Raw genomic sequence first — 23,471 nt, forward strand, 5'->3', positions numbered from 1 at the left:
AGGCATGCACCATGGTGTCTGACTGATTTTTGTATTTGTTGTAGGGAGGGGTTCTCACTATGTTACGCACGCTGGTCTCAAACTCCTGGGCTCAGTCCCTCCCAAAGTGCTGGGATTATAGGTGTGAGCTACCGTACCCCTCAGGAATTCTTATTTTTTAGATGGAAATTTTAAATTGGCTTTTATTGGAATCTCATTAAATTTGTAGATTTGGAGAGGCTTTAGAAGGCATTTTCAAGTTTTGATTGATTGTTTTAGATTTCATTCATAGGTGAATTTCATTCTCTATATTTTACTTGAGGGATCCACGGAAACTACCTACATGGACTTCACTTACTCTGGTTCATTGTGTGGGATACAAAATCGTCAAAATTGAAGGATTGATCATTGTGTCTGGAGCCAGGCATAAAAATAAACCTCACTCTGTTATCATAGGTGGCTGTGATTAAGATCGAGGGAAATGTCGGCCCTGGGCCTCCTAACATTGACAGTTTCCTTCAGAAGATTAAGTGCGGCTTCATTTTTGGCCCGGGCCATCAGTAGCTTAAAGCCATTACTGTCTATTGGCTGTTTGGTTTGTCTGAAATATGGGGCCGGCGTCAGCCTATTTCCCTGGGGTCAGGTGTGTTCACATAATCAAAGTGCCAGGAACCCATATCGCATGCAAGCGTGTGTGTTCAAATTAGCCTTCTCCAGGGAGGAATTCACAGCACCAGGAATACGCGCAGAGATGTTCTTTTGCACTTTTGCATTTTAAAACGTGCATCGCTTACGAGCGCAGCATTTTCAAGCCTTTTCTTGAGATCAGCTCGTTCAGTTACATGTGCTTTTGAAGATGACCATTTGTGAAACCATCAGCCACTGGCAAAGTGAAGAAAAATGAAGATTTCGGCCTGGTTGATGTGTGCTCGGGGAAAGGTGATAGCTTCTGTTTCCTTGAATTAAAAGCTGCAGACAAGTATATTTTCATTTATTTTGTTTATAAATCAACAACCCACGAAAGGTATTTCATACGTATTTAAATGATTGCTTTGCCGCCATCAAGAAAAAATACTGTTTCACTTAACAGTGAATTGAGACAAGGAAAAGTGATGTGTGAATAGAAATAAAGAAATTAAAGTAAAAAACAGGATCAGGGTAGGTTCTAGGGCTAATAATTTAAGAACAGAACATGTGGTTTAACTCTTTTTGCCACTCTAAGGAGAGGTGATATTTGTATTTTTCTTTTTACTGAAACCAGATCGTGAGACACGCTTTTCATTCATACTTGAAACTTGATAAAATGTTTGGCTTTATATTAATTTTCTCAATTATAAGTGTGGGAAATGAATTCGTTGATAACCCTTTTCAAGTAAATGAACTGATTAGAACCAGAAGAGCCGAGAGTCATTTTTATTTTAAAATTCTTTTTGCATGAACACATGTAGTGTTGAGGAATATGTGGAAAATTGAAATATTGCTTCTCTCCTACCGTGTCTCCAGTGCCTCGATAAATCACCTTTTTTTTTTCCTTTTAAAATGTCTGGCCTTATAATTTATGTTTGCATAACCCATTACTAAATTCATAGTAGGTGTTTTAGTTGGCAGGCATTATTCCAGGGATTTGGAGGAGTTTAAAAAAAATACAGAGCCTTTGTTAGTATTTATACTAAGTGGACATTTTCCTTTTTTAACAACAACAACAAAAAAGAATTAGATTTTTAAAAAAGAATTCAGAGCTAGCTATTTACCTTTTTCCTAGACAAACACTATTAAGTCCATATTCTCACATTATTCATTGTCTTAATGGAGATTAAGATTTCTTAATGGACTTTATTATAGCTTTTCTTTCTTTTTTTCAAAATTAGAACTGGCCGAAGAAAATGCTTCTACTATTAAGATCAGATGAATTTCTACAGAATTTTCAGTAGGTGTCATGTTGTATAGGAAATAAACATTTCTGTTTTAGTAGGTTTTCGATTTCTTACCTCCCGTTGACCGTTTTGATCATAAAGTGAAGATGAATACATTCATTCATTTACTGCAGTCTTTGGTACTTGAACAGAAATAGCAGTGTTCTTGGTTTGTTCGCATACTTGTGGCTTACCTTTGAGACTTTCTAATTTTTAACCAGACATTTAAAAATAGCCATTCTGTCTTTTAGCCCTAATTTAGAAAAACTTGTAGCGCTTTCCTTTGAAATGATGAAAAAAAAAGTTCTTTCTGTTTTCTATCATCAAAGTTTAAAAAGCGATGTTTGGATATTTTAAAAGCCGGAAAGACCATGTATGGCGTGCTGAGGAAGTTTGCTTTGTTTGATCATTTTCTCTTCCCCTCACCCCCATCAGCTGGCTAATAATGTTTTCCATGTTAAATGTGTATCACAGCCTGTTGAAATCCCTGTGGTTAATCAGAAGAGAAGTTGTTTCTATCCTATGGAACCTTAATACAGTTGTCAGGAGGTTTGTGAACAGAAATTCAGAATTCATCACACTGTAACGATGATCTAAAGGTCAAGTTGTACAGTATAAATTTGAAAATCTCTCTCTGACTTCCTTTCTACCTAAATTAGAGCCTAAAAGTCATGAGAATTTTGTCTTCTTTTTGTTTATTTTAGAGATAGCATAGTCGATGTTTTAAAAAGTTGCCACCTTTTCACTATAATGCGCTCCCATTATCAGAGATGTTTATTCTGGTTGTATCTCTCTGACAACCTTCAATACTTAACAGAATAATTTAGTTTGGATTCAAAGAAGTGCCTCTTCTATTTCTGTGTTTGTTTCTAGAAACTTTGAGGTGGAGGAATTATTGTTCCTTCTTCTTGGCAATGTTCAGGGTTTCACGAATCTGACTTTTAAAAGCCCAGCTCTCAGCCCCGAGCCTCTCATGAGTTAAAGAAAGGGTTTTGCAGCTTTTGGTAGACGAGAAACACATTTTATGGCTCTTCATGAAGTTGCCCGCTCCGTCCACGTCCTGTCCTCTTCCTCCTTCCCAGTTTCTGGGCTCCCTGGCTCTTGTCATGAGGCTTTCAGTTTTGTGTCCCAGAAAGCGCTTCCCCCGGGGACAGTGCCATGCCAAGGCTGGGAGAAGGGAAAAAGGAGGTGTTTATCGCCTTGAAGATGCCTTCCAGCCTTTATTATTAACTCCCTTCCAAAGTAAACTTTCGGGTTTTTTTCAAGTCTGTTCTGGCCAAAGTACAGTTGGGTTTGCCGTGTTCTCTAGGAGTAGAGGTGAAAACAGCATTGCCCGGGGTGAGGAGCAGGAGGAGGAAGGGTCCACGTATAGGAGTGGATGGAGGGGATCTGTGAGACAGCTGCTGGGACAGATCCGACTTGGAGACTGTCAGGCCTCTGAGCCCAAGCTAAGCCATCATATCCCCTGTGACCTGCACGTACACATCCAGATGGCCGGTTCCTGCCTTTACTGATGACATTCCACCACAAAAGAAGTGAAAATGGCCTGTTCCTGCCTTAACTGATGACATTATCTTGTGAAATTCCTTCTCCTGGCTCATCCTGGCTCAAAAGCTCCCCTACTGAGCACCTTGTGACCCCCACTCTGCCCGCCAGAGAACAAACCCCTTTTGACTGTAATTTTCCTTTACCTACCCAAATCCTATAAAACGGCCCCACCCCTTTCTCCCTTCGCTGACTCTCTTTTCAGACTCAGCCCACCTGCACCCAGGTGAAATAAACAGCTTTATTGCTCACACAAAGCCTGTTTGGTGGTCTTTTCACACGGACGTGAGTGAAAGAGACTGCCATTCATGAATGGACAAGGCCTGGCTCCGTCCACGCTTTCCCAGCTCTGTGTCCTGCCATCGGACATGCTGGCACATCTGCTGTGGGTGCCCTGCACTTCTCCGGGCACTCCTGGCCCAGCTGGGGAGGTTGGCATGGTATCCACCATTTTGTTCTAAAGTAGTAAATGAAACTCTTGGGAGGGCAGCACCCAGCAGATGTTTGGAGCTAGAGACAGGGCTCTGGGGATGTGTAGGAACCCGGACCTGGTGTGGCAATGGTGTGGGGCTGTCACGAGGCGTGAGGAGGCTGGGGTGGTGTTGGGGACAGCACACGATGCTGGGGCTCAGGCCAAGTGAAGCTTGGACTTCACTCTGTCTGAGGCTTTGCCAAGTGTCAGAGGGTGCACACTTGGGAGTCACATGGCCAGGCTCACATTTCCAGCCGAAGTTACACTCTACAGCCTGGCAGCAGATGGACGTTTGGGGACAGAGGTGGAGCCGGAACAGCTGAGACACTGTTTTAGAGGACTCTGCGAGAAACACGCTCTTAAAACAAGGAAGCGGTGGTTATGTCTTATTCAACAACGATCTGTTGTGGACCAGCTGTGTGCCAGGCAGTTGCAGGCCCTGAGGCTGCAGCAGTGAGCAGAAGGCCAAGGTCCCTGCCCTCGCGGTGCTTACATTCTAGTGGAGACAGATGTTAAACTACAGGGCAGGAAAACACTGTCAAGGAGATGCAGGTGGAGGATTCTGACTGTGGAACTGGGGCATAGAGACAGTGGGTTTTGAAAGCACTTGGCTGAGAAGGATGGGAGGAGGGAGGAGGGAGGAGGGCGGGTACATCTGTAGATGGACCAGGTTAAGGTATGGACTTCCCCATCCTGACAAGGGGGAGCCCCAAGCTTGTTTTCAGGTGTGACGGGGGTGGGGAGAAAGAGAGCATTCCAAGAGAGGCACGAACGTCATTTCCAGAGCGAGATGAAGGTCACAGAGTTTGGGAGGAGATGGGATCCGGCACTCGGGCTGGCGAGCAGACAGGAGGGAACTCAGGGAGATGGGAACCCCGGGGAGGAAGTTAGGGCAGGATCCCCTGGGAGTTTTCCCGGATACATAGGAGAAAAGGTTATCCTTCAAGGGTGAGCGGGGGCTAAGTGCAGGGGACAGAAGAGAGGAAAGCCCGGCGACCATCATGCCCGGCTGCCGTGGGTGGTCTGGATTGGAGGCGGCAGCCGGGCTGTGTTTGTGCGGAGGGTGGCAGGGGGCCAGCGGAGGAAACTGCCCAGGCGCCAGCCCTGCCATCCCCACCGGCCTCCTCGCTTTGGGGTTTTGCTTTCTGCCCTGGCCACGTGGGACCGGCTAGGTGGAGATCATGCAATCAGGGTTCCCAGCTCTCAGAACCATAATGGTTAAGCAAGCAGCTTCGTTTCCAGGCACGCAGGAGCTCCCCCGTGTCAGCGTTTTCCTAACATGGCTAATCATAAAAACCTCCTGGGTGTGTGTGTATGCTTGTTAAAAATACTGTCCCTGGGCCCCACCCTAGACTTAGTGAGACACAGTCACCGGGGAAGGGCCTGGGGACTTGCATTTAGAACCAGCTCCTGGAATGCTTACTCTGAGGCCAGTTTGGGCCCCCTCCCATGGCCTCCCTCTGTGTCCCTTCCTCCAGATGCTGATTGAGGATGTGTCCCCTGCCGGGACTGTGTTTGCATGTCTCTGTCTCTGTCACAAAGTAGATGCCTGGGGAGTGTGTGCTGCGTGGCCCCCTGAAGACCCTGTACCGGGATGTCAGCACCCCAGCCCCCAGCTCCTCCCCCTGTGAAAGACATTAGCTCCTGGAGGGGCTCAGGTGGTGGAAATGAATCTTAGCATCAATGTTTAGACCTAAAAGCCATCTCCAGGTCATCATAGCACATGACAGAGATAGAGGCAGAACCTGGTGGCCATAGGATTATTTCTGAGCAAAGATCGCCCAAGCTTTGGCATAGGCCAGGGTTATTCACATGTCCGAGTCCCTGGAAGTGGGGTGTGAGGAGGTTGTGGGGGGCCTTCAGAATGAGGGAAAAGGGATAAATCAAAATCAAGTCTTTTTTTTTTTTTTTAATTGAGACAGAGTCTCGCTCTGTCTCCCAGGCTGCAGTGCAGTAGCACGATCTTGGCCCATTGCAACCCCTGCCTCCCAGGTTCAAGCAATTCTCCTGCCTTAGCCTCCCGAGTAGCTGGGACTACAGGTACGTGCCACCATGCCCAGCTAATTTTTTTGTATTTTTAGTAGAGACGGGGTTTCATCATGTTGGCCAGGGTGGTCTCGAACTCCTGAGCTCAAGTGATCCACCCGCCTTGGCCTCCCAAAGTGCTGGGATTACAGGCGAGAGCCACCGCGCCCAGCCTAATGATATAAATATTAGTAGATTTCTGCTTACTCACTTCACCACCAGCATTTTCTAGCAAATGTGAGTTCAGCAGACACCAAAGATTTTTATAAATCAAAGTAGACAGTCTTTAACGTTGAGAAGATTCTGTTAACTCATCTGTTCTACCCACACTCTTGCCCTTCCCTCCTCACAGAAAAGCCAGGAGAAGGGTGAATAATTGAATTACAGATGACAGTAAATATTTGGATCTAGCTGCTTATGAGGCCTTAATGATATCAGTCAGTACAAAAGGTTGATATCCATGTTTTTTGGTGTGTGTATTTTTTTTTTTTTTTGAGACAGTCTCACTCTGTCACTCAGGCTGGAATGCAGTGACGTGATCACAGCTCACTGCAGCCTCAACCTCCCAGGTTCAAGCGATCCTTCCATCTCAGTCTGCTGGGTAGCTGGGACCACAGGCGTGTGCCACCACACCCAGCTAATTTTTTGCAGAGACAGGGTCTCGCTATGTTGCCCAGGTTGGTCTCTCAAACTCTGGGGCTCAAATGATCTTCCTGTGTCAGCCTCCCAAAGTGCTGTAGTTACAGGCATGAGCCACTGTGCCTGGCCGATATCCACCATGTTTGGAGCCTGTTTTTGGTTACATTTCATCCTCATCTACTGGCCTGGAGATATTGGTGTCAATCAGTTCTTCACTGGGGGAAGAGATTTTTTTAAAAAGTCAGATTTACACTCAGTAAGATTCACCCTTTTCAGGTGTCCACTTTGATGAATTTTGACAACCACATATAGTCATGTGCCACCACCACTATTAAGATAGAGGACAGGCTGGGTGCAGTGGCTCACACCTGTAATCCCAGCACTTTGGGAGGCCGAGGTTGGCAGATCACCCGAGGTCAGGAATTCGAGACCAGCCTGGCCAACATGGCAAAACCCTGTCTCTACTCAAAACACAAAAATTAGCCGAGCGTGATGGCTCATGCCGGTAATCCCAGCACTTTGGGAGGCTGAGGCGGGCAGATCACTTGAGGTCAGGAGTTTGAGACCAACCTGGCCAACATGGTGATACTTCGCCTCTACTAAAAACACAAAAATTAGCTGGGCATGGTGGTGTATGTCTGTAATCCCAGCTACTTGGGAGGCTGAGGCAGGAGAATCGCTTGAACCTGGGAGATGGAGGTTGCAGTGAGCCAAGATCGTGCCACTGCAGTCCAGCCTGGGCAACAAGACCAAAACTCTGTCTCAAAAAAAAAAAAAATACATATATATATATATATATATATATATATATATATATATATATATATATATATATATGATGGTTCCACTGTCCCCCCTATTCTCCCAGGCCTCTATGTAGTCAGTCCCTTCCCCCACCCTCAGCCCATGGTAACCACTTATCTGTTTTTTGCTGGCATCATTTTGTATTTTCTGGAGTGTTACATAGAGGGATCATACCATATGCAGTCTTCGAGTCTGGCTTCTTTCACTTAGCGCAGTGGATTTGCAGTTCAACAGTGTGGCCGCTGTCAGTGCCAAGTAGTATTCCATTGTATGGATGTACCACAGCATGGAGGGATTTTTAAGGCTGGTCAGGCAGTGCTTATGTCACAGGTCCAACATCCAGTCCCCTGGGCCATTTAAAGCCAAGCACAGCCCCACACCTAACCCTCGTCTGAACGATCTTGTACAGCCACTCTGCAGTTTCACATCCTGAATGTGAGCAGTCTTTTTTTAAAGAAGGAGGTTTTGGGCCAGGTGCAGTGGTTCATGCCTGTAATCCCAGTACTTTGGGAGGCTGAGGCGGGTGGATCGCTTGAGCCCAGGAGTTTGAGACTGGCCTGGGCAACATAGTGAAACCCCACCTCTATAAAAAAAATACGAAAATTATTGGTGGTGGTTGCCTGTGGTCCCAGCTGCTTGGGAGGCTGAGGCAGGAGGATCACTTGAGCCTGGGAGTTTGAGACCAGCTGGGGCAACATAGTGAGACCCCTGTCTATAAAAAATACAAAAATTGGGGCTGAGCGCGGTAGCTCACACTTTGGGAGGCCAAGGTGGGTGGATCAGGAGGTCAGGAGTTCAAGACCAGCCTGACCGACATGGTGAAACCCCATCTCTACTAAAAAGACAAAAATTAGCCAGGCATGGTAGCGGGAACCTGTAATCCCAGCTACTTGAGAGCCTGAGGCAGAGAATTGCTTGAACCCGGGAGGTGGAGGTTGCAGTGAGCCGAGATTGCACCGCTGCACTCCAGCCTGGGCAATAGAGCGAGACTCCATCTAAAAAAAAAAAAAAAGCCGGGCATGGTGGTGTAAGCCTGTGGTCCCAGCTACTTAGGAGGCTGAGGCAGGAGGATTGCTTGAGCCCGGGAGGTTGAGAATGAAGTGAGCTCTGATTGCACCACTGCACTCCAGCCTGGGTGACGGAGGGAGACCCTGTCTCAGGAAAAAAAAAAAAAAGAGGAGGTTTTAATGTTCGCAAAGCTGGTCAGTTTCCAATCTGGTGTCACCAGTGGAAAAAAGATGTAAGTGTTGTTGGCAAGAGAAGCTCACCCAGAGACACGCTCCATGAAGTCCCTGACCCCCGCTGGGGGTGCCTGTGATGGAGGGTAGGCTGTGGTGCCTGCGGGCGCGCACAGGTGAGATGGAAGGAATAAGGGGTTATTCCTTCTGGGTGCAGCTCTGCCTGGAGGCCAGAGCTGTCCTCCTCCCTTCGATCTCTGAATTAAAGACGCTCTTCTAGTATTTTCTTATGTTGATATATATGTGTATATATATATATGTGTGTGTGTGTTTTCTTATTGTTCTAGTTCTTATATTGTCATTTAATTCCTTTGTCCTTTAGCTTGCAAGGGAATGTGTTTTCTTATTAGATTGTAAGCTCTGGGGAGGTAAGACCAGCACTTCCACCCTCCCAGATCCTTGGTTGGGCACGTTATTGATCAGTCCACATCTGTTGCTTGGCTGATTGATTAAATGCTGTGGTGCCCGTGTTCACTGAGGGATTCCAGACCCCTGTCTAGCCCAAGGATGCCTCACAGTGGGAATGCTGGCACAGCTGTCTTGGCAATCAGTAGACCATCCTGTCAGTTCTTCAAGCCCAGAGAGGGTCCGTGACTTGCTCAGAGTCACACAGCAATCCATTAGCGAGGCCAGCCCCTTCCCTGGGCTCTGCATTTCTCTTGTAGTGAAGAGCTCCTCACAGTTTATTTGCATACTGTAAATTTGCAAAGTCAGAAGGAAAAGGGCAGGGAGCCGGGCTTCCTTGAGGCAGGTGGCTCTTTTAAAGCTGGGGCATGTTGTCGCCAATCTGAGCTTGTTTCCATGGACGCAGCCAGCCGGGCAGCCTGTTCCCGTCAACCTGAGCCCTGATGGAGCCTCGGACCTGACAGGCTGCCTGGGGAACTCACTGGGAGGAGGGCGGGTTGGGGGAGACCCAGAAGCCATGCTGGAGTCTCTCTCTGGCCTACTTTTTGCCATAGTTTGAAGGGAAAGTTAGTGAATTGCCAGGATCAACCTGCAGTTTCCCCAAAACTTGCACAGGAGTGGCTTTCATCGCTGCATGGGGAGACCTCCTTTGCGGGTCTGCTTAGCGGTAGCTGGATTGTCTCTGAGGGATACCTGGCTTTCCTAACTGTTCCTGGAGAATCTTAAAGACGAAAATGGAAGAAAGGGCTCACATCTTTGTTTTGTGCTGCAAGCAAAGTCTTGGAAAAATGAATGATGCCAATGGAATCTATTTCTTGTAATTAATTTCCTCAAGCTACTGGATCTCCTTTTCTTGCTGAGATTGTGGTTTGGCAGCTGCAGTTTGATAGCCCCATTCTGAGACTGGATCCCTCTCTTCCCTCATCTGGTAGTTTTCACGTCGGGGCATTCCTGAACTCCGTCTGCCTCGTTTCAGGCTGGGATCACAGATCAGGAGCGAAGGCTTTATGATATTAACTAGTCAACAGATACATTCTTTGAAGAATTTCTGTGTTTTTAATTACCCCACGAAAGCCTTTGGACGCACGGGTTATGAGGGGCATTTTGCATTGCTAAATTCCAGCCTTGATTGCAAACCTGAAAAGAGCAGAAACTGCTCAGAACAAGTTGTTAAAACCACAGACACAAGGGAAAGGTTTCTCTCTCTCCCTCCCCCTCTCTCTGTCCCTGTTTTTAAGTCCTTTCAGCTGGAGGTGAAACTGCAACGTTATCAAACATGCCAGTACACACTGTTTCCCAGGCCTGTTTTTGCATGAGTTGGGGTAGAAATGTACCCAGCTTCTGTTCCAGTAGGTGGAGAAAGATGCTTAAATCCTAGAAGCACTGTTCACCTACCTTTTTAGGGTACTGCAGGTTTAGCTCGAGGGTTGGAGGGCATCCAGAAAAGCATGACTAAGAGAGAAAAAGACTACTCCCAAAGCTAACAGGGTGGAGTATCATAGCCAGGACAGGAAAATTCCCAGCAGGGAAACGGCCTGTCTGTAATGCAGACACATTGGGTCATAGGTTTGCTTTCACAGAATAAGTGAAATGGAACAAAAGTCTTTTTTGAATTCTCATTCCAAGAGGCCCAGTTTCTGCAGGTGTGTCTTTTCGATCTTACCTTGTATTCAGTATTATTTCAAGCAATCTCCATTTTAGGCAGTGTCTACTCCAGACCAAAAAACCTGGCTAAGAAAGAAATTTTGTTGATTTTGAGACAGGGTCTTTCTCTGTCGCCCAGGCTGGAGTGCAGTGGTGTGGTCTCAGCTCACTGCAGCTTCAACCTCCTGGGCTTCAGCGATCCTCCCACCTCAGCCTCCCTAGCAGCTGAGACCACAGATGCCTGCCACCACACCCGGTGAATCTTTAAATTATTTGTAGAGACAGGGTTTCCCTGTGTTGCCCCAGGCTGGTCTCAAACCACTCCTGGGCTCAAGTGATCCCCCTGCGTCGACCTCCCAAAGTACTGGGATCACAGGCGTGAGCCACCGCAGGCCTCCCAGACTCTGGGTCAGAGGGCAGCTTGAGCTCCTCCACCGACTGCTCCAAGCCTTTGCCCCAGCTCTTGGTGCCTGGGGTGGTGGGAGCAGCATGGGCTTCGCTGCACACGGACCTGGGCCCAGATCTTGGTTCCATCGGCTGCTGGGAGATCAGTTCCCTTCTCTGCACCTCCATTCAGCTTGGACGGGAATCTGTCCTTCCTAGAACAGCTGTGATTAATAACTGAGACCACACCCATGTTCGTTGTGGCTTAGCGCCATGCACACAGGTACCTAGTGGATGTTAACTTTCCTCTCCATCCTGGTCAGTGCTTTTTTTTTTTTTTTTTTTTTTTTTACTTTTTCTTTTTCTGTTTTTGAGATGGAGTCTCGCTCTGTCACCCAGGCTGGAGTGCTGTGGTGCAATCTTGGCTCACTGCAACCTCCACCTCCCTGGTGCAAGAGATTCTCCTGCTTCAGCCTCCTGAGTAGCTGGGATTACAGGTGCCCGCCACCATGCCTGGCTAATTTTTGTATTTTTAGTAGAGACGGGTTTTCACCATGTTGGCCAGGTTGGTCTTGAACTCCTGAGCTCAAGTGATCCACCCGCCGTGGCCTCCCAAAGTTCTGGGATTACAGGTGTGAGCCACTGCACCCGGCCTCTGGTCAGTGCTTCTGTTGAGTTCAAGAAAAATGACCAATTCATCTAAAACCCCGAGCTGGCAGATGCTCTCCCGCGCGGCGGCGGCTGACGTCAGTGCTACTTTCAGCGTCTTTGGTGCAGTCTTGGTGTTCGCTCTCAAATGGGCTCTTTTCAGTATCACATATCATATGCAGGATGCAGAGGGGCCCGGCTTACATACCGAGAGTCAGAGGACTCATGCGGCCACAAGTAGGTTGGGAACAGTGTCCCCTAATAGGATGAGTTTTGGGCTTTAAAATTTAAAAAAAAAAAAATGGGGGCATTGATGAGTCTCGTTGGCACCTTTTGGCTTGTGGAGGCTCGTGATCTAATATTGGTCTCTGCTGTATACCCAGCACACTACCTGCCACTTAGCCATTCCATAAATATCGTTAAATAAGTGAATTAGGCCGAGTGCCATGGCTGACACTTGTAATCCCAGCACTTACAGAGGCCGAGGTGGGAGGATCGCCTTGAGCCCAGGAGTTTGAGACCAGCCTGGGCAACATAGCGAGACCGCGTCTCTATTTAAAAATTAAAAAAAAAAAAAAAAAAAGACAACTTGAGCCGCACACAGGTTCTTGCCAAAGCCTCTATTAGTGCTGTGACTCGGGAAAGAAAACTTGTTTTTTTCTTCAGTTGACTGGGCTCAGCCATCCCAGGTGTGAGTGACTCAGGCCTTGAGAGCAGGTAATGGATCCATAGGGAGCCCTGTCCCCACCCAGGGAGACTGTCCCAGCCCCTCCCGATGGCTCCTTCCAGAAAGGGGCGCAGTGGGCTGGGTTGCAGGGGGTAGTTGTGTCCAAGAGTCCTGCAGGATGGAGTGGGAAGGGGCAGGAGGGGTGTCCTGCACTGCCAGCTGTTCATCTACCCCAGTGCCATGGAAACAGAGCTCCTGCTTTTCCCCAGGAAGGCGTTGATACATTTATAGGCTAGCATTCAACATCAGCGTTGTGCTCTGGCAGTCTCAGCAGTAAGACATAAACCTACCAAGGTCTGGGGGAAGCACTGGGTGTTACCATCCTGGCTCACGCGGGAGACGCATGCTCCTCCGTGACTGTTTGTGGCCAGTGAGCCACCAGTTGACACCAGCAATCCAGCCTTCTGCCCCTCTCACTTCACAGATGAGGGAAGTGGGGATCTGCCTAAGGTCACACTTTGGTGCATTTCTCAAATCAAACCCAGGAGCCGGAATTTTTCTACTGAGCTCCTGCTAAGACACCCTGGGTCGTTTCCTCCGGGCAGTCCATGTCATCTGCTGTGGCGTGTATGTTCATGGGTGATTCTGTTTCTGTTTTTAAACCCTGTGCCTCTTGGTTGGTGCTTTTCCTCCTGGAGGATGCTGCAGACCTGCAGCGGTCACCTCGGGCCACCCAGGGAGCAGGTGGGCACACCCAGGTTGCATCTGTCGCCACACTGGTGCAGGCCGTGTTGCACATCACTGCTGCCGGGTTGACCCCACTTGGTATGAAATGAGAGGGCCTCTTTTCTGAAGCAAGGTGTTGCAATTTAGCCTGGGGATGAAGCTGCTTCTTCCAATACCCAGAGTTAACACCAAATGCCACGAGAGTGAGAAAATAAGACAGCATTGCACTTTCCCAGAAATTGTCACCCCAGGGTGCCACCCCACCTCCCAAGCCCACTCTGGGACTCCTTCCACACACAGTCACCCACTGGTTACCAAGCCTGCGGGGCAGGTGCTAGGTGCGTGCTGGGAGTCAGGGGTGGATGAGGTCTTTTGCAGACAGGGCAGAGCGACCTCAGGGCAGAGCCATGAGGGCCTGTGTGCAGCGGCTTCCACCCAGGCAGGCTCCGGCTCTGCACCTTCAGCTACAGGATACACTTGCTTTCGACACCTCCACTGTCATTTAGACACAAAGCACACCACCACCGAAACCACTCCACAGAATGTAGAGTTTCTTGCCAGGAAAATAAAATAAATTAAAAGTCACTAATACTTTTATTTAAATTGCGAGTACATTTCCTCGCTGTTGCATTTTGTAATTTATACCTGGGAGTTAATTTATTGTTATTTACAGTTGCACAAGGACTCATGGAAATGCCTTGTGTATCGAGTGTTCTCATTATGCTGGGCACGGTCCCAGGTGCCGGGGAGGCAGGTCATAGTCCTGGCCTCGTGGAGCTGATGTTCTGAACGAGAGTTGAGTACCCAGTGGGACATCCTGAGAGCCCAATGCAGGTCCTGGTCAGGGCTGTGGGGACTGTGGGGAAGACCTGGATGGCAAGAGGAGTAGGGACAAGATCTACAGGATTCTGCATGCAGGGCTGCAGGCCAAGAGGGAGGAGTTGGGGGTTCTAGTCCGCTAGGTTCAGGGAGCCAGACGTGTCTGCTGTCCCAAACCTCCTGTGCTCAGGAACGTGGTTCTGATGAGCCTGTATCACCTTCCCTTCCCTCCACCTATGGGTCTGAGTGGCAGGAAGAGTTCTAGCTGTGTCAGCCAAGGCCGGGGACACCAGAGGCACAGGGCTTGGTTTAGGAGTCAAGACAAGGCATTTGCTTATTTAAAGAATGAGTTCTATGCACTTCCAATGAGTGGTTCTGTGGTCAGGAGGGCGGCACCTGGAGAGAGGTCAAGGTAGAATTGTGGATTTGGAAGGGTGGAGGATGGAAGGCCCCAGAGGAAACCAGCAGTCAGGGACTGAGGAGGTGATGGCATTCTCTAGTGTGATGTGTGGACAGACAGAGTAGAAGAACCAAAACCAGTCTTGGAGCGACAGGTGGGTCAGACGGCAGCTTTCTCTGGACCCGGGTCAGGAAGAGAAGGGTTTCCAGCAGGAGGGAAGATTGCGCTTAGGAAGAGAAGGGTTTGCTGGGCTCGATGGCTCACGCCTGTAATCCCAGCACTTTGGCAGGCCAAGGCATGTGGATCACCTGAGGTCAGGAGTTCATTTTGAGACCAACCTGGCCAACGTGGTGAAACCCTGTCTCTACTAAAAATACAAAAATTAGCCCAGCGTGGTGGTGTGCGTCTGTAATTCCAGCTACTTGGGAGGCTGAGGCAGGAGAATCACTTGAACCTGGGAGGTGGAGGTTGCAGTGAGCCAGGATCGTGCCACTGCACTCAAGTCTGTGTGACAAGAGCGAGACTCCGTCTCAAAAAAAAAAAAAAAAAAAAAGAGAGAAGGGTTTCCAGCAGGAGGGTCAGTGGCGGTGAAGCTTGCAGCTGGCAAATGTTGGGTTGGATTTGGGGTGGGGAGTGAGGCCAGGAGCTGGTGGAGGGGGGCAGAGGAAGGAAAGATCACTCACTGCTAAGCCTTTCAGATGAGTTCCCCGTGGTCATCAGAGGTAGGCCTTGCTGTCTTAATTTTACAAAAGATGAAAGCCACAGGAGGCATAGACTTGCTCAGAGAATTCATACTCAGTTCAGCAGACTCCAGTATTGATGCTCAACCCATGCTGCTGCTGGGGAGGGCTCAGGGGACAATGTTAAGTGAGACCAAGGAGGTGGCACCCCTGAACCAGTCTCTCCGTGAGCTCGGCGGTGAGAAAACAGTGCACAGGGAGAGGAGCCACAGAAGGCCCGGGATGTGTCACCCAGGGTTTCAGCTGGGAGGGGACAAAGCCGATTTGGGTGGGAGAGTGGAAGTAGGTCCCAAGAACTTTTATTTTAAATGTTTTGATGACAGATTTAAAACTTGAGTAACTTCATTGTAAAATGGCCAGGCGTGGTGGCTCACACTTGCAATCCCAGCACTTTAGGAGGCTGAGGCGGGAGGATCCCTTGAGCCCAGGAGTTGGGAGACCGGCCTTGGCAACATAGTGAGTGAGACCCTGTCTTGACAAAAAATTAAAGAATTAGCCAAGTGTGGTGACATGTGCCTGTAGTCTCAGCCACTTGGGAGGCTGAGGCAGGAGGATTGCTTGCACCCAGGAGCTCGAGGCTGCAGTGAGCCGTGATCATGCCACTGCACTCCAGCCTGAGCAAGAGCGAGACTCCGTCTCAAAAAAACAAAAACCGAAAAAACCACCTCACTATTCTAGGCCCGAGCCCGAGCTTAAATATTTACCCCATATCCAACCATAAGTTAATCCCGCACACACCTTCATCAGTTTCTTAAAGAAACTGGTGCCCCAGCACGGGGCATGCCAACGTATTAGACAGGCAACAACTTAGACATGGGGATGAAATGAATTCCATCTTAAATCTCAAAGTGCACAATACAGTCTCTAAAATTAAAGAAAAGAAAGATTTATTTCCAAAAAAGCCCACAGTGAAATAATTGTCTCAGTCTGTGGAGAGAGCTAATTTGGACAGAATCACATATTTTGATTCCTGGGATTTTTTTAAAAGGAATCTTTTAAAGCAGTAAATGAAATATTTTTGGATGTAGACAAAAATGACTTACTTAGCCATTCCACTGGCAATGTGGAAAGGATGAAGACCAATTTTGAGTTAGCAAGGACACCTTCAGAAAGTTCAGCTCCCAGGAATTGTTGACCCTAGCCATCCATGTCTGTATTTCCTGAGGACTATTGCTTACGGAATTAATTGGGACTAATTTCTGTTGCACCTGATCTCCAGCCAAAACACTCACATTTTGCCTCATCTGCAGAGACCTGGGCTGAGTTTTATCTCTGCGTCACTGCCGAGTTCCCTGCCCCCGCTCTGTTAACAGAGCTATAATTAACTCACAGGACGCCAGGCAGCCAGATTCGGCCAGGCGCCAAGAAATCAGCCCCAATTACTATATTCACATTGTCAGTAATGCCCACTTCACAGCTTCTGCTAATTTGAAATGGCAAGTTCCAACTTTCCATAGTAAAATTACCATTTTTGTCCTATTCTATTACGTGGTGATATTTGTCCATTATTTGGGCTCCGTAAACTTGGCATTATCACGACAATTAGTTGTTGAGGGTTTTCTAAAATGATTTGCAATTACATCTCTTAAGCGGAAAACTGTCTGCTCTGATGGAGTGAGAATCCATTCCCTCTGTGCCCTAGATCCACTTTAGGAATTGGCTTTTCATAGGGGAACGTGGTGCCTCGGGATTTTATAATAAAGTCGAGCCTTTAAAATAAGGGCTAGCCTTGGAACGTTGCCTGCTTTGTAGATTTCCAGTGTTCAAGTTGTCTGATTTCTTTATAAAGATGGAGAAGTGTCTCTGTCCCTCTGGGTCTCCGAGTTCCCTTGAGTCTGGGCCTCTGTATCTGGATCCCCTCAAGCCCTACTTTGTTGTAAGAGCCAAATTAGCCAGGGGCTACTGGTTGGTGGCTCTGCTGGGGGGGCATCACAGAGTCTCTCTTCTCTGACATTTGCTGACCTTCAACCCGCCCTGGTACAGGAGCACCCCATTGAGGTCCTCCGTTTTCCAGAGTCCTGTCCCTGAGGAATCACCTGCCTGAGTCCCTGAGCTTGGGACTGGCTGGCCTGATTGGGTTGTACATTTTGTTCTCTTTTCAGCAGAGAAATCTCAGGAGGCACCATGCCAGGCCACTGTGCCCCTGCAAGTGTGTCTGAGTATGGCCCAGGACCCTGCCCATCACTGGTCTGCAACAAGATAAGCACAGAAGTTCAGAGTAGGTGTCTAGAAATGTTCATAGCAATTTAACGTGACGGTGACATCCAAGTGGCATTTTAATTTTATTTTATAAAGATCTGAGTCCACAATGGGCTGGAAATGTAAAAATCTGTTGTGTGTTCTTCTCCCACAGATTGTTTGACAAACATTGGTCATTATTATTATTATTATTATTTTGAGACAGAGTCTCACTCTGTCGCCCAGGCTGGAGTGCAGTAGTGCGATCTCAGCTCACTGCAAGCTCCACCTCCTGGGTTCACGCCATTCTCCTGCCTCAGCCTCCCGAGTAGCTGGGACTACAGGCGCCCGCCACCACGCCTGGCTAATTTTTTGTATTTTCAGTAGAGACGGGTTTCACCGTGTTAGCCAGGATAGTCTCGATCTCCTGACCTCGTGATCCGCCCGCCTAGGCCTCCCAAAATGCCGGGATTACAGGTATAAGCCACCGCACCCAGCCAAACATTGGTCATTATTTAATCTCCTCATCTCTGATTGGATTTCACTGTGATCATTTACTGTGGCTAAGGCAGAGTGCTTGCTTTTTTTTTTTTTCTTTTTCTTCCTTTTTTTTTCTTTGAGACAGAGTCTCACTCTGTCGCCCAGGCTGGAATGTAGTGGCACGATATTGGCTCACTGCAACCTCCACCTCCCGGGTTCAAGTGATTCTCGTGCCTCAGCCTCTCAAGTAGCTGGGATTATAGGTACACATCACCATGCCCAGCTAATTTTTGTATTTTTAGTAGAGATGGAGTTTTGCCATGTTGCCCAGGCCAGTCTTTGAACTCCTGACCTCAGGTAATCCACCCACCTCAGCCTCCCAAAGTGCTGGGATTACAGGCATGAGCCACCACGCCTAGCGAGTGCTTGCTTTTTCTGCTAGACAGTGGTCCTCAGGCCCAATCCCTGAGAGAGGGGCTTCTGAGAGGTGAAGGAGGCAGGAGTTCTTGCCCCTGACTCTCAGGAGCTGGTGTCTCCTGGGCATCACTCACGGATGGGCTGATTATTGCTCATTACCCCACAGGATCCGACAGTTCCAGTACAAGCTGCTTCTTTGAGACAGAGTCTCACCCTGTCGATCAGGCTGGAGTGCAATGCTGGCGCGATCTCAGCTCACTGTAACCTCCGCCTCCTGGGTTTAAGCGTTCTCGTGCCTCAGCCTCCCGAGTAGCTGGGATTACAGGCACCCGCCACCACACCCGGCTAATTTTTGTATTTTTAGTAGAGACGAGGTTTCACCTTGTTGGTCAGGCTGGTCCTGAACTCCTGATCTCAGGTGATCCGCCTGCCTCAGCCTCCCAAAGTGTTGGGATTACAGGCGTGAGCCACTGCGCTCGGCCCAGAAGACTTATATTTTATGATATAAGAAAATTATATGAAATTCCCAAAAAAACCCAGAAAATTATATGAAATTCAAATTTCATTGCCCATAGTTTGTTGTTTTTTTAAAAAAAAAATTGTAGTAAAATACACATAACATAAAATTTACCATTTTAGTTATTTTGAAATCTACAGTTTAGTGGAATTAGGTACATTCAGTGTTGTGCAAGCCATCACTGCCATCCATCTCCAGAACTTTTTCATCATTCCATAACTCACCTCCATAAATAAAGTTTTATTGGCACTCAGCCATACTCATTTGTTTATCTATTGTCTGTGGCTGCTTTTCTGGGCTACAGCAGCAGAGTTGAGTAGTTGCAACAGAGACCATATGGCCTGCAAAACTTAAAATATATTTTTTTCTTCTTTCTTTTCTTTTTTTATAGAGATGAGGTCTCACTACGTTGGCCAGGCTGGTCTCAAAAATCCCAGACCTAAGCAGTCTTCCTGCCTTGCCTCCCAAAGTGCTGGGATTACAGGCGTGAGCCATGTAGAATATTTACTATCTGACCCTTTCCAGTAAAACTTGGCCAACCCCTGTCCTGGTGCACACTCTCCTTACTTCTTAGTTACCATAGCAACTGCCTAACTGGTCTCACTTCCTTTGGTTTCATTCCCTTTCTGTATATCTGCCCCCTGGAGGAGTTTTTCCAAGATACAATTCTGATTGATTAACTTCGCTGGTTAAAATCTTTTAGCAGGCTGGTGCGGTGGCTCAACTTGTGATCTCAGAACTTTGGGAGGCCAATGTGGGCAGATCACTTGAGGCCTGAAGTTCTAGACCAGCCTGGGCAACATAGCAAAACACCATCTCTACTAAAAATACAAAAAATAAGCCGGGTGTGGTGGCGCACGCCTGTGGTCCCAACCACTTGGGAGGCTGAGGTGGGAGGATTTCTTGAGCCTGGGTGGCAGAGGTTGCAGTGAGCCAAGATCATGCCACCGCACTCCAGCCTGGGTGATAGGGTGAGACACTGTCTCAAAAAAAAAAAAAATTCCTTTAGCAGCATCCTGTAGACTAATGCCATGTCTGGGAACACCAGTCCCAGGATAACTGCACTAGTTATTAAAGGCTCTATAAACTCTTGCAGAAAAGAAACCTGCTGAACATCGATCAACCCAGTACCCTTCAAAACTCATTGACTGGGCAAGTCTTTTTCCTTTTTTTTTTTTCTGGAGACAGTCTCGCTCTGTTGCCCAGGCTGGAGCGCAGTGGCATGATCTCGGCTCACTGCAAGCTCCGCCTCCAGGGTTCATGCCATTCTCCTGCCTCAGCCTCCTGAGTAGCTGGGACTACAGGCGTCCGCCACCACACCCTGGCTAATTTTTTTTTATTTTTAGTAGAGACAGGGTTTCACCGTGTTAGCCAGGATGGTCTCAATCTCCTGACCTTGTGATCCGCCCGCATCGGCCTCCCGAAGTGCTGGGATTACAGGTATGGGCCACTGCATTTTTCTTATCACCCATTCTCATTAGCCTACAGCAGGGATTGGCAAACTGTTTACTGTAAAGAACCAGATGGTAAAATACTGTAGGTTTCGGCAGGGCCATATGGTCTGTTACAAAGACTCAACTCTGCTGTAAAGTAGCCATAGATAATACAAAAATGGTGGGCGTGGCTGTATGCCGATAAAACTTTATCTAAAAAGACAATCAGGCCCATTTGAACTCCTGTCCTGTAGAGCAGTGGCTGTCAAGGTGTGGCCCAGGCCAGCAGCATCACAGGACCTGGGGACTTGTTAGAATTGCAGATTCTGACCAGGCGTAGTGGCTCACACCTATAATCCCAATACTTTGAGAGGCCAAGGTGGAAGGATTGTTTGAGGAGTTCAAGACCAGCCTGGGCAACATAGCGAGACCCCGTCTCTACAAAAAAAAATACAAAAATTAGCTAGGCGTGGTAGCATATGCCTGTATTCCCAGCTACTCAGTAGACTTGAGGATTGCTTGAGACCTGGAAGGTTGGAGCTGCAGTGAGCCGTGATTGCGCCACTGCACTCCAGCCTGGGTGACAGAGCGAGACCCTGTTTCAGTAATAAATAAATTAAAAGTACAGATTCTCGGGTCTACTCCAGACCTGCTGAATCAGAAAATACGCGGGCAGGCCCAGCCGCCTGTGCCTTCACCAGCTCTCCTGGTTAAGGCCTGAGAACCCTGCTACGGAACCCCGAGTACCTTTCAGAACATGTTGACCTCATTCGCAGGGATCAGTGGCCCTTTGTCATCTGGTCTCTGGCCAGTGTCCCTCCCTCATCTGGTGGACTTGGTACTGATGCCGAACCACCTGTGGGTTCCAAACGTGCCATTGTTTCTCCCACCCACGCATTTGCACAAATGTGGTCCTGTGTGGCTCACTCCCTTTTCTGCCGCCACCTTCTCCCCCACTGCGCCATGCTGGTCTCAGCTCGGGGCTTACCTGGTCCCAGAGGTGTGTTGGGAGGTCCCCACCCCTTGCCTCTGCCCGTTGCCTTTTCCACCCCTGCACTGGGTGTGCATAGGTGCGCAGGGCACGTGTGTGTCCTCTGCGGTCACTGACTTGATTGTCTGCCTTTCCCAGGAGGACATGGGCTCTGTCGGGACATTTTATCCGTCTGTTTACAACATGAAATAGACACCTCCGAAATGTGTGTGTGTTCCGTAAATGAAGGAGCAGAGGGACCCCTTCGGAGCATCTCAGAGGCCAGGAAGCCTGGCTTCTGGCCGCCCTGCCCGCTCCTCACGTGTGAGGGGAACTGGGGAAGTCGAGTCAGCCCGCTGGGGTTCCTGATTCTCTGCGGTTCTGGGAAGAGCTTGCAGTGGAAGGCCTCCCAGCCATTTCCTCTTCTCCCCCAACTGTGACTCACTGATTGATTAATGTTTGGAAATTGTGACTCATCTTGTTAGAGAAGGAAAAGGAAATTTTATTCTCTTCATTCTCCCTCCCTTTCAAATAAGTAATAAATAAAAAGTGGCTGATCTTCCACTTGGTGCGGTAAGAAGCATTTAAATACATTCCCGGCCCTCATAATTGGTGGCTTCTTGGAGAAAGGTACTTATTAGAAGAAAAACACTTCCCTATGTGTTGTTGTTCGGCCTTCTCGTTGATGAAATTACACGGTGAGTTGGTGAGCGAATTTACCTTGCCCCTTTTTAAAGGTATTTGTGGCAGCTCTTGTTGTAGGAATCAGGGGAGAGGAGCCACTTCTCTTTTAGTAAGAAATGCGAAGAGTGGCCTCTCCATCTTCAGAGTTTCAAAATGAGTTCACTCTGGTGGTGAGTAATGATGTCTTAAGCTGGCTTATTAAAGGCGGAGGAATAAGATGTTCTTGCTTTACCTCACGTACCAAATATAGATAAGGCGCTGGATCAGCAGAGCCTCAGGCCCGTGCCAGGACACAGTCGGGCCTGGCGATGTCTGTTTTGTCTCACGACTGGAGGGTTGAAGGGGAAGCACAGCCTTTGCTTTTAAGGGTTTTCTTCTGGGAAATCCACAAAAAAAAAAAAAGCATTTGTTCACTTCTCACGTTGTGATGTTGAAATTATGGCTTGGAGTTTTACATTTGCCTTTTAATTCTCTTTATGGGCAGCATGTCTGTATGTCTTAGGCTCTTGGTTCTGGAAGACCAAGTAAATTCAGTATCTTTTCAAATTGTAACCCTCTGGTCTGGGTAACACAGCAAGACCCCCATCTCTACAAAAAAAATTTTTTTAAGTCAGCCAGGCATGGTGGTGCACACCTGTAGTCCCAGCTACTCAGGAGGCTGAGACGGGAGGATCACCTGAGACACGAGTTTATGTGTCTGAGACGCCTGAGACAGGAGTTTATGACCATCCTGGGCAACATAACAAGAGCCCATCTCTATGACAAAATGTGAAAATTAGCCAGGTACAGTGGTGCACACGTGTAGCCCCAGCTACTTGGGAGGCTGAGGTTGGGGGATAGCCCAGGAGTTCAAGGCTGCAGTGAGCTATGATGGTGCCACTGCACTCCAGCCTGGGTGACAGAGTGAGACCCTGTCTCAACAAAATAAAATTGTAACCCAAAGTAAGGGCTCAATAAATGTTAGCCACTGTGATTATTCTATTATTCCCGTCCTCGTTGTAAATATTTGTGTGGCTTGGTGCCTAGCGTCTTTTGTAGCTGTATGTATTGCCAAGGAGAATCCCAAGGAAAAAAAGTAGAAATATGGTTAAAGCTGGCTGGGCACAGTGGCTCATGCCTATAATCCCAGCACTTTGGGAGGCCGAGGCAGGCAGATCACTTGAGTGCAGGAGTTTGAGACCAGCCAGAGCAACATAGCAAGACCCCTTCTCTACAGTGTGCTGGCATTTGCAGTGCAGCCACCATTGCCCATGGTAGCGATGAGGAAGCTGTGGCTTAGACCAACTTCCAGAATCACTGCTCTGGTCACACAGCTGCTCGCAGGTGGCATCATGAACACACCTAGTCTGACTGTTGCTTAACCACGACAAACTCCATCTCCTTCCACTTTGCCTGGCTGAGGATCGGATGCATTACATAGAAATATTTGAATTTGGAAGCTGTTGAAATACAGGTTCAGGCCAGGCATGGTGGCTCATGTGTGTAATCCCAGCACTTTGGGAAGCCGAGGCAGGCGATCACCTGAGGCCAGGAGTTCGAGACCAGCCTGGCCAACATGGTGAGACCCTGTCTCTACTAAAAATGCAAAAATCAACTGGGCCTGGTGGTGCACACCTGTAATCCCAGCTACTCGAGAGGCAGGAGAATTGCTTGAACCCTGGTGGCGGAGGTTGCAGTGAGCTGAGATCATGCCACTGCACTCCAGCGTGGGTGACAGAGACAGATTCAGTCTCAAAAAAAAAAA

At 48.1% G+C, this 23,471-nt stretch overlaps 1 protein-coding gene across 25 annotated transcripts in view, besides 15 other annotated features; it reads left to right on the top strand.

Moving 5' to 3' along the window:
- The window catches only part of CUX1 (cut like homeobox 1), a 467,952-nt gene that overhangs the window by 115,698 nt on the left and 328,783 nt on the right, over positions 1–23,471 (top strand). The window lies entirely within an intron of this gene.
- Positions 3,133–3,704: an enhancer, noted in NCBI's record as "NANOG-H3K27ac-H3K4me1 hESC enhancer chr7:101578117-101578688 (GRCh37/hg19 assembly coordinates)". NCBI's record gives its function as "activates a minimal SCP1, AML or CMV promoter by ChIP-STARR-seq in naive H9 embryonic stem cells {active_cell/tissue: H9 hESC(naive)}" and the evidence as "EXISTENCE:reporter gene assay evidence [ECO:0000049][PMID:30033119]".
- Positions 3,705–4,276: an enhancer, noted in NCBI's record as "NANOG-H3K27ac-H3K4me1 hESC enhancer chr7:101578689-101579260 (GRCh37/hg19 assembly coordinates)". NCBI's record gives its function as "activates a minimal SCP1, AML or CMV promoter by ChIP-STARR-seq in naive and primed H9 embryonic stem cells {active_cell/tissue: H9 hESC(naive and primed)}" and the evidence as "EXISTENCE:reporter gene assay evidence [ECO:0000049][PMID:30033119]".
- Positions 4,222–4,361: an enhancer, noted in NCBI's record as "active region_26412". NCBI's record gives its function as "activates an Ori minimal core promoter by ATAC-STARR-seq in GM12878 lymphoblastoid cells {active_cell/tissue: GM12878}" and the evidence as "EXISTENCE:reporter gene assay evidence [ECO:0000049][PMID:35858748]".
- Positions 4,222–4,848: a biological region, named in NCBI's record as "H3K27ac-H3K4me1 hESC enhancer GRCh37_chr7:101579261-101579832".
- Positions 4,277–4,848: an enhancer, noted in NCBI's record as "H3K27ac-H3K4me1 hESC enhancer chr7:101579261-101579832 (GRCh37/hg19 assembly coordinates)". NCBI's record gives its function as "activates a minimal SCP1, AML or CMV promoter by ChIP-STARR-seq in naive and primed H9 embryonic stem cells {active_cell/tissue: H9 hESC(naive and primed)}" and the evidence as "EXISTENCE:reporter gene assay evidence [ECO:0000049][PMID:30033119]".
- Positions 4,849–5,420: an enhancer, noted in NCBI's record as "OCT4-NANOG-H3K27ac-H3K4me1 hESC enhancer chr7:101579833-101580404 (GRCh37/hg19 assembly coordinates)". NCBI's record gives its function as "activates a minimal SCP1, AML or CMV promoter by ChIP-STARR-seq in naive H9 embryonic stem cells {active_cell/tissue: H9 hESC(naive)}" and the evidence as "EXISTENCE:reporter gene assay evidence [ECO:0000049][PMID:30033119]".
- Positions 8,743–9,630: an enhancer, noted in NCBI's record as "H3K27ac-H3K4me1 hESC enhancer chr7:101583727-101584614 (GRCh37/hg19 assembly coordinates)". NCBI's record gives its function as "activates a minimal SCP1, AML or CMV promoter by ChIP-STARR-seq in naive H9 embryonic stem cells {active_cell/tissue: H9 hESC(naive)}" and the evidence as "EXISTENCE:reporter gene assay evidence [ECO:0000049][PMID:30033119]".
- Positions 9,205–9,499: a silencer, noted in NCBI's record as "tiled region #716; K562 Repressive non-DNase unmatched - State 14:Gen5'". NCBI's record gives its function as "represses a minimal TATA promoter and a strong SV40 promoter by Sharpr-MPRA in K562 cells {active_cell/tissue: K562}" and the evidence as "EXISTENCE:reporter gene assay evidence [ECO:0000049][PMID:27701403]".
- Positions 10,205–10,499: a silencer, noted in NCBI's record as "tiled region #4286; HepG2 Repressive non-DNase unmatched - State 23:Low". NCBI's record gives its function as "represses a minimal TATA promoter and a strong SV40 promoter by Sharpr-MPRA in HepG2 cells {active_cell/tissue: HepG2}" and the evidence as "EXISTENCE:reporter gene assay evidence [ECO:0000049][PMID:27701403]".
- Positions 10,519–11,406: an enhancer, noted in NCBI's record as "H3K27ac-H3K4me1 hESC enhancer chr7:101585503-101586390 (GRCh37/hg19 assembly coordinates)". NCBI's record gives its function as "activates a minimal SCP1, AML or CMV promoter by ChIP-STARR-seq in primed H9 embryonic stem cells {active_cell/tissue: H9 hESC(primed)}" and the evidence as "EXISTENCE:reporter gene assay evidence [ECO:0000049][PMID:30033119]".
- Positions 20,614–21,140: an enhancer, noted in NCBI's record as "H3K27ac-H3K4me1 hESC enhancer chr7:101595598-101596124 (GRCh37/hg19 assembly coordinates)". NCBI's record gives its function as "activates a minimal SCP1, AML or CMV promoter by ChIP-STARR-seq in naive H9 embryonic stem cells {active_cell/tissue: H9 hESC(naive)}" and the evidence as "EXISTENCE:reporter gene assay evidence [ECO:0000049][PMID:30033119]".
- Positions 20,614–21,984: a biological region, named in NCBI's record as "MED14-independent group 3 enhancer GRCh37_chr7:101595769-101596968".
- Positions 20,785–21,984: an enhancer, noted in NCBI's record as "MED14-independent group 3 enhancer chr7:101595769-101596968 (GRCh37/hg19 assembly coordinates)". NCBI's record gives its function as "activates an origin of replication core promoter dependent on BRD2, BRD4, P300/CBP and CDK7 cofactors, and independent of MED14, by STARR-seq in HCT116 cells {active_cell/tissue: HCT116}" and the evidence as "EXISTENCE:reporter gene assay evidence [ECO:0000049][PMID:35650434]".
- Positions 21,141–21,666: an enhancer, noted in NCBI's record as "H3K27ac-H3K4me1 hESC enhancer chr7:101596125-101596650 (GRCh37/hg19 assembly coordinates)". NCBI's record gives its function as "activates a minimal SCP1, AML or CMV promoter by ChIP-STARR-seq in naive H9 embryonic stem cells {active_cell/tissue: H9 hESC(naive)}" and the evidence as "EXISTENCE:reporter gene assay evidence [ECO:0000049][PMID:30033119]".
- Positions 21,325–21,619: an enhancer, noted in NCBI's record as "tiled regions #6241 and #11625 (exact overlaps); HepG2 Activating DNase matched - State 16:ElonW, and K562 Activating DNase unmatched - State 14:Gen5". NCBI's record gives its function as "activates a minimal TATA promoter and a strong SV40 promoter by Sharpr-MPRA in HepG2 and K562 cells {active_cell/tissue: HepG2 | K562}" and the evidence as "EXISTENCE:reporter gene assay evidence [ECO:0000049][PMID:27701403]".

Source organism: Homo sapiens, chromosome 7 (assembly GCF_000001405.40).
Source record: "Homo sapiens chromosome 7, GRCh38.p14 Primary Assembly".
Classification (NCBI taxonomy): domain Eukaryota; kingdom Metazoa; phylum Chordata; class Mammalia; order Primates; family Hominidae; genus Homo; species Homo sapiens.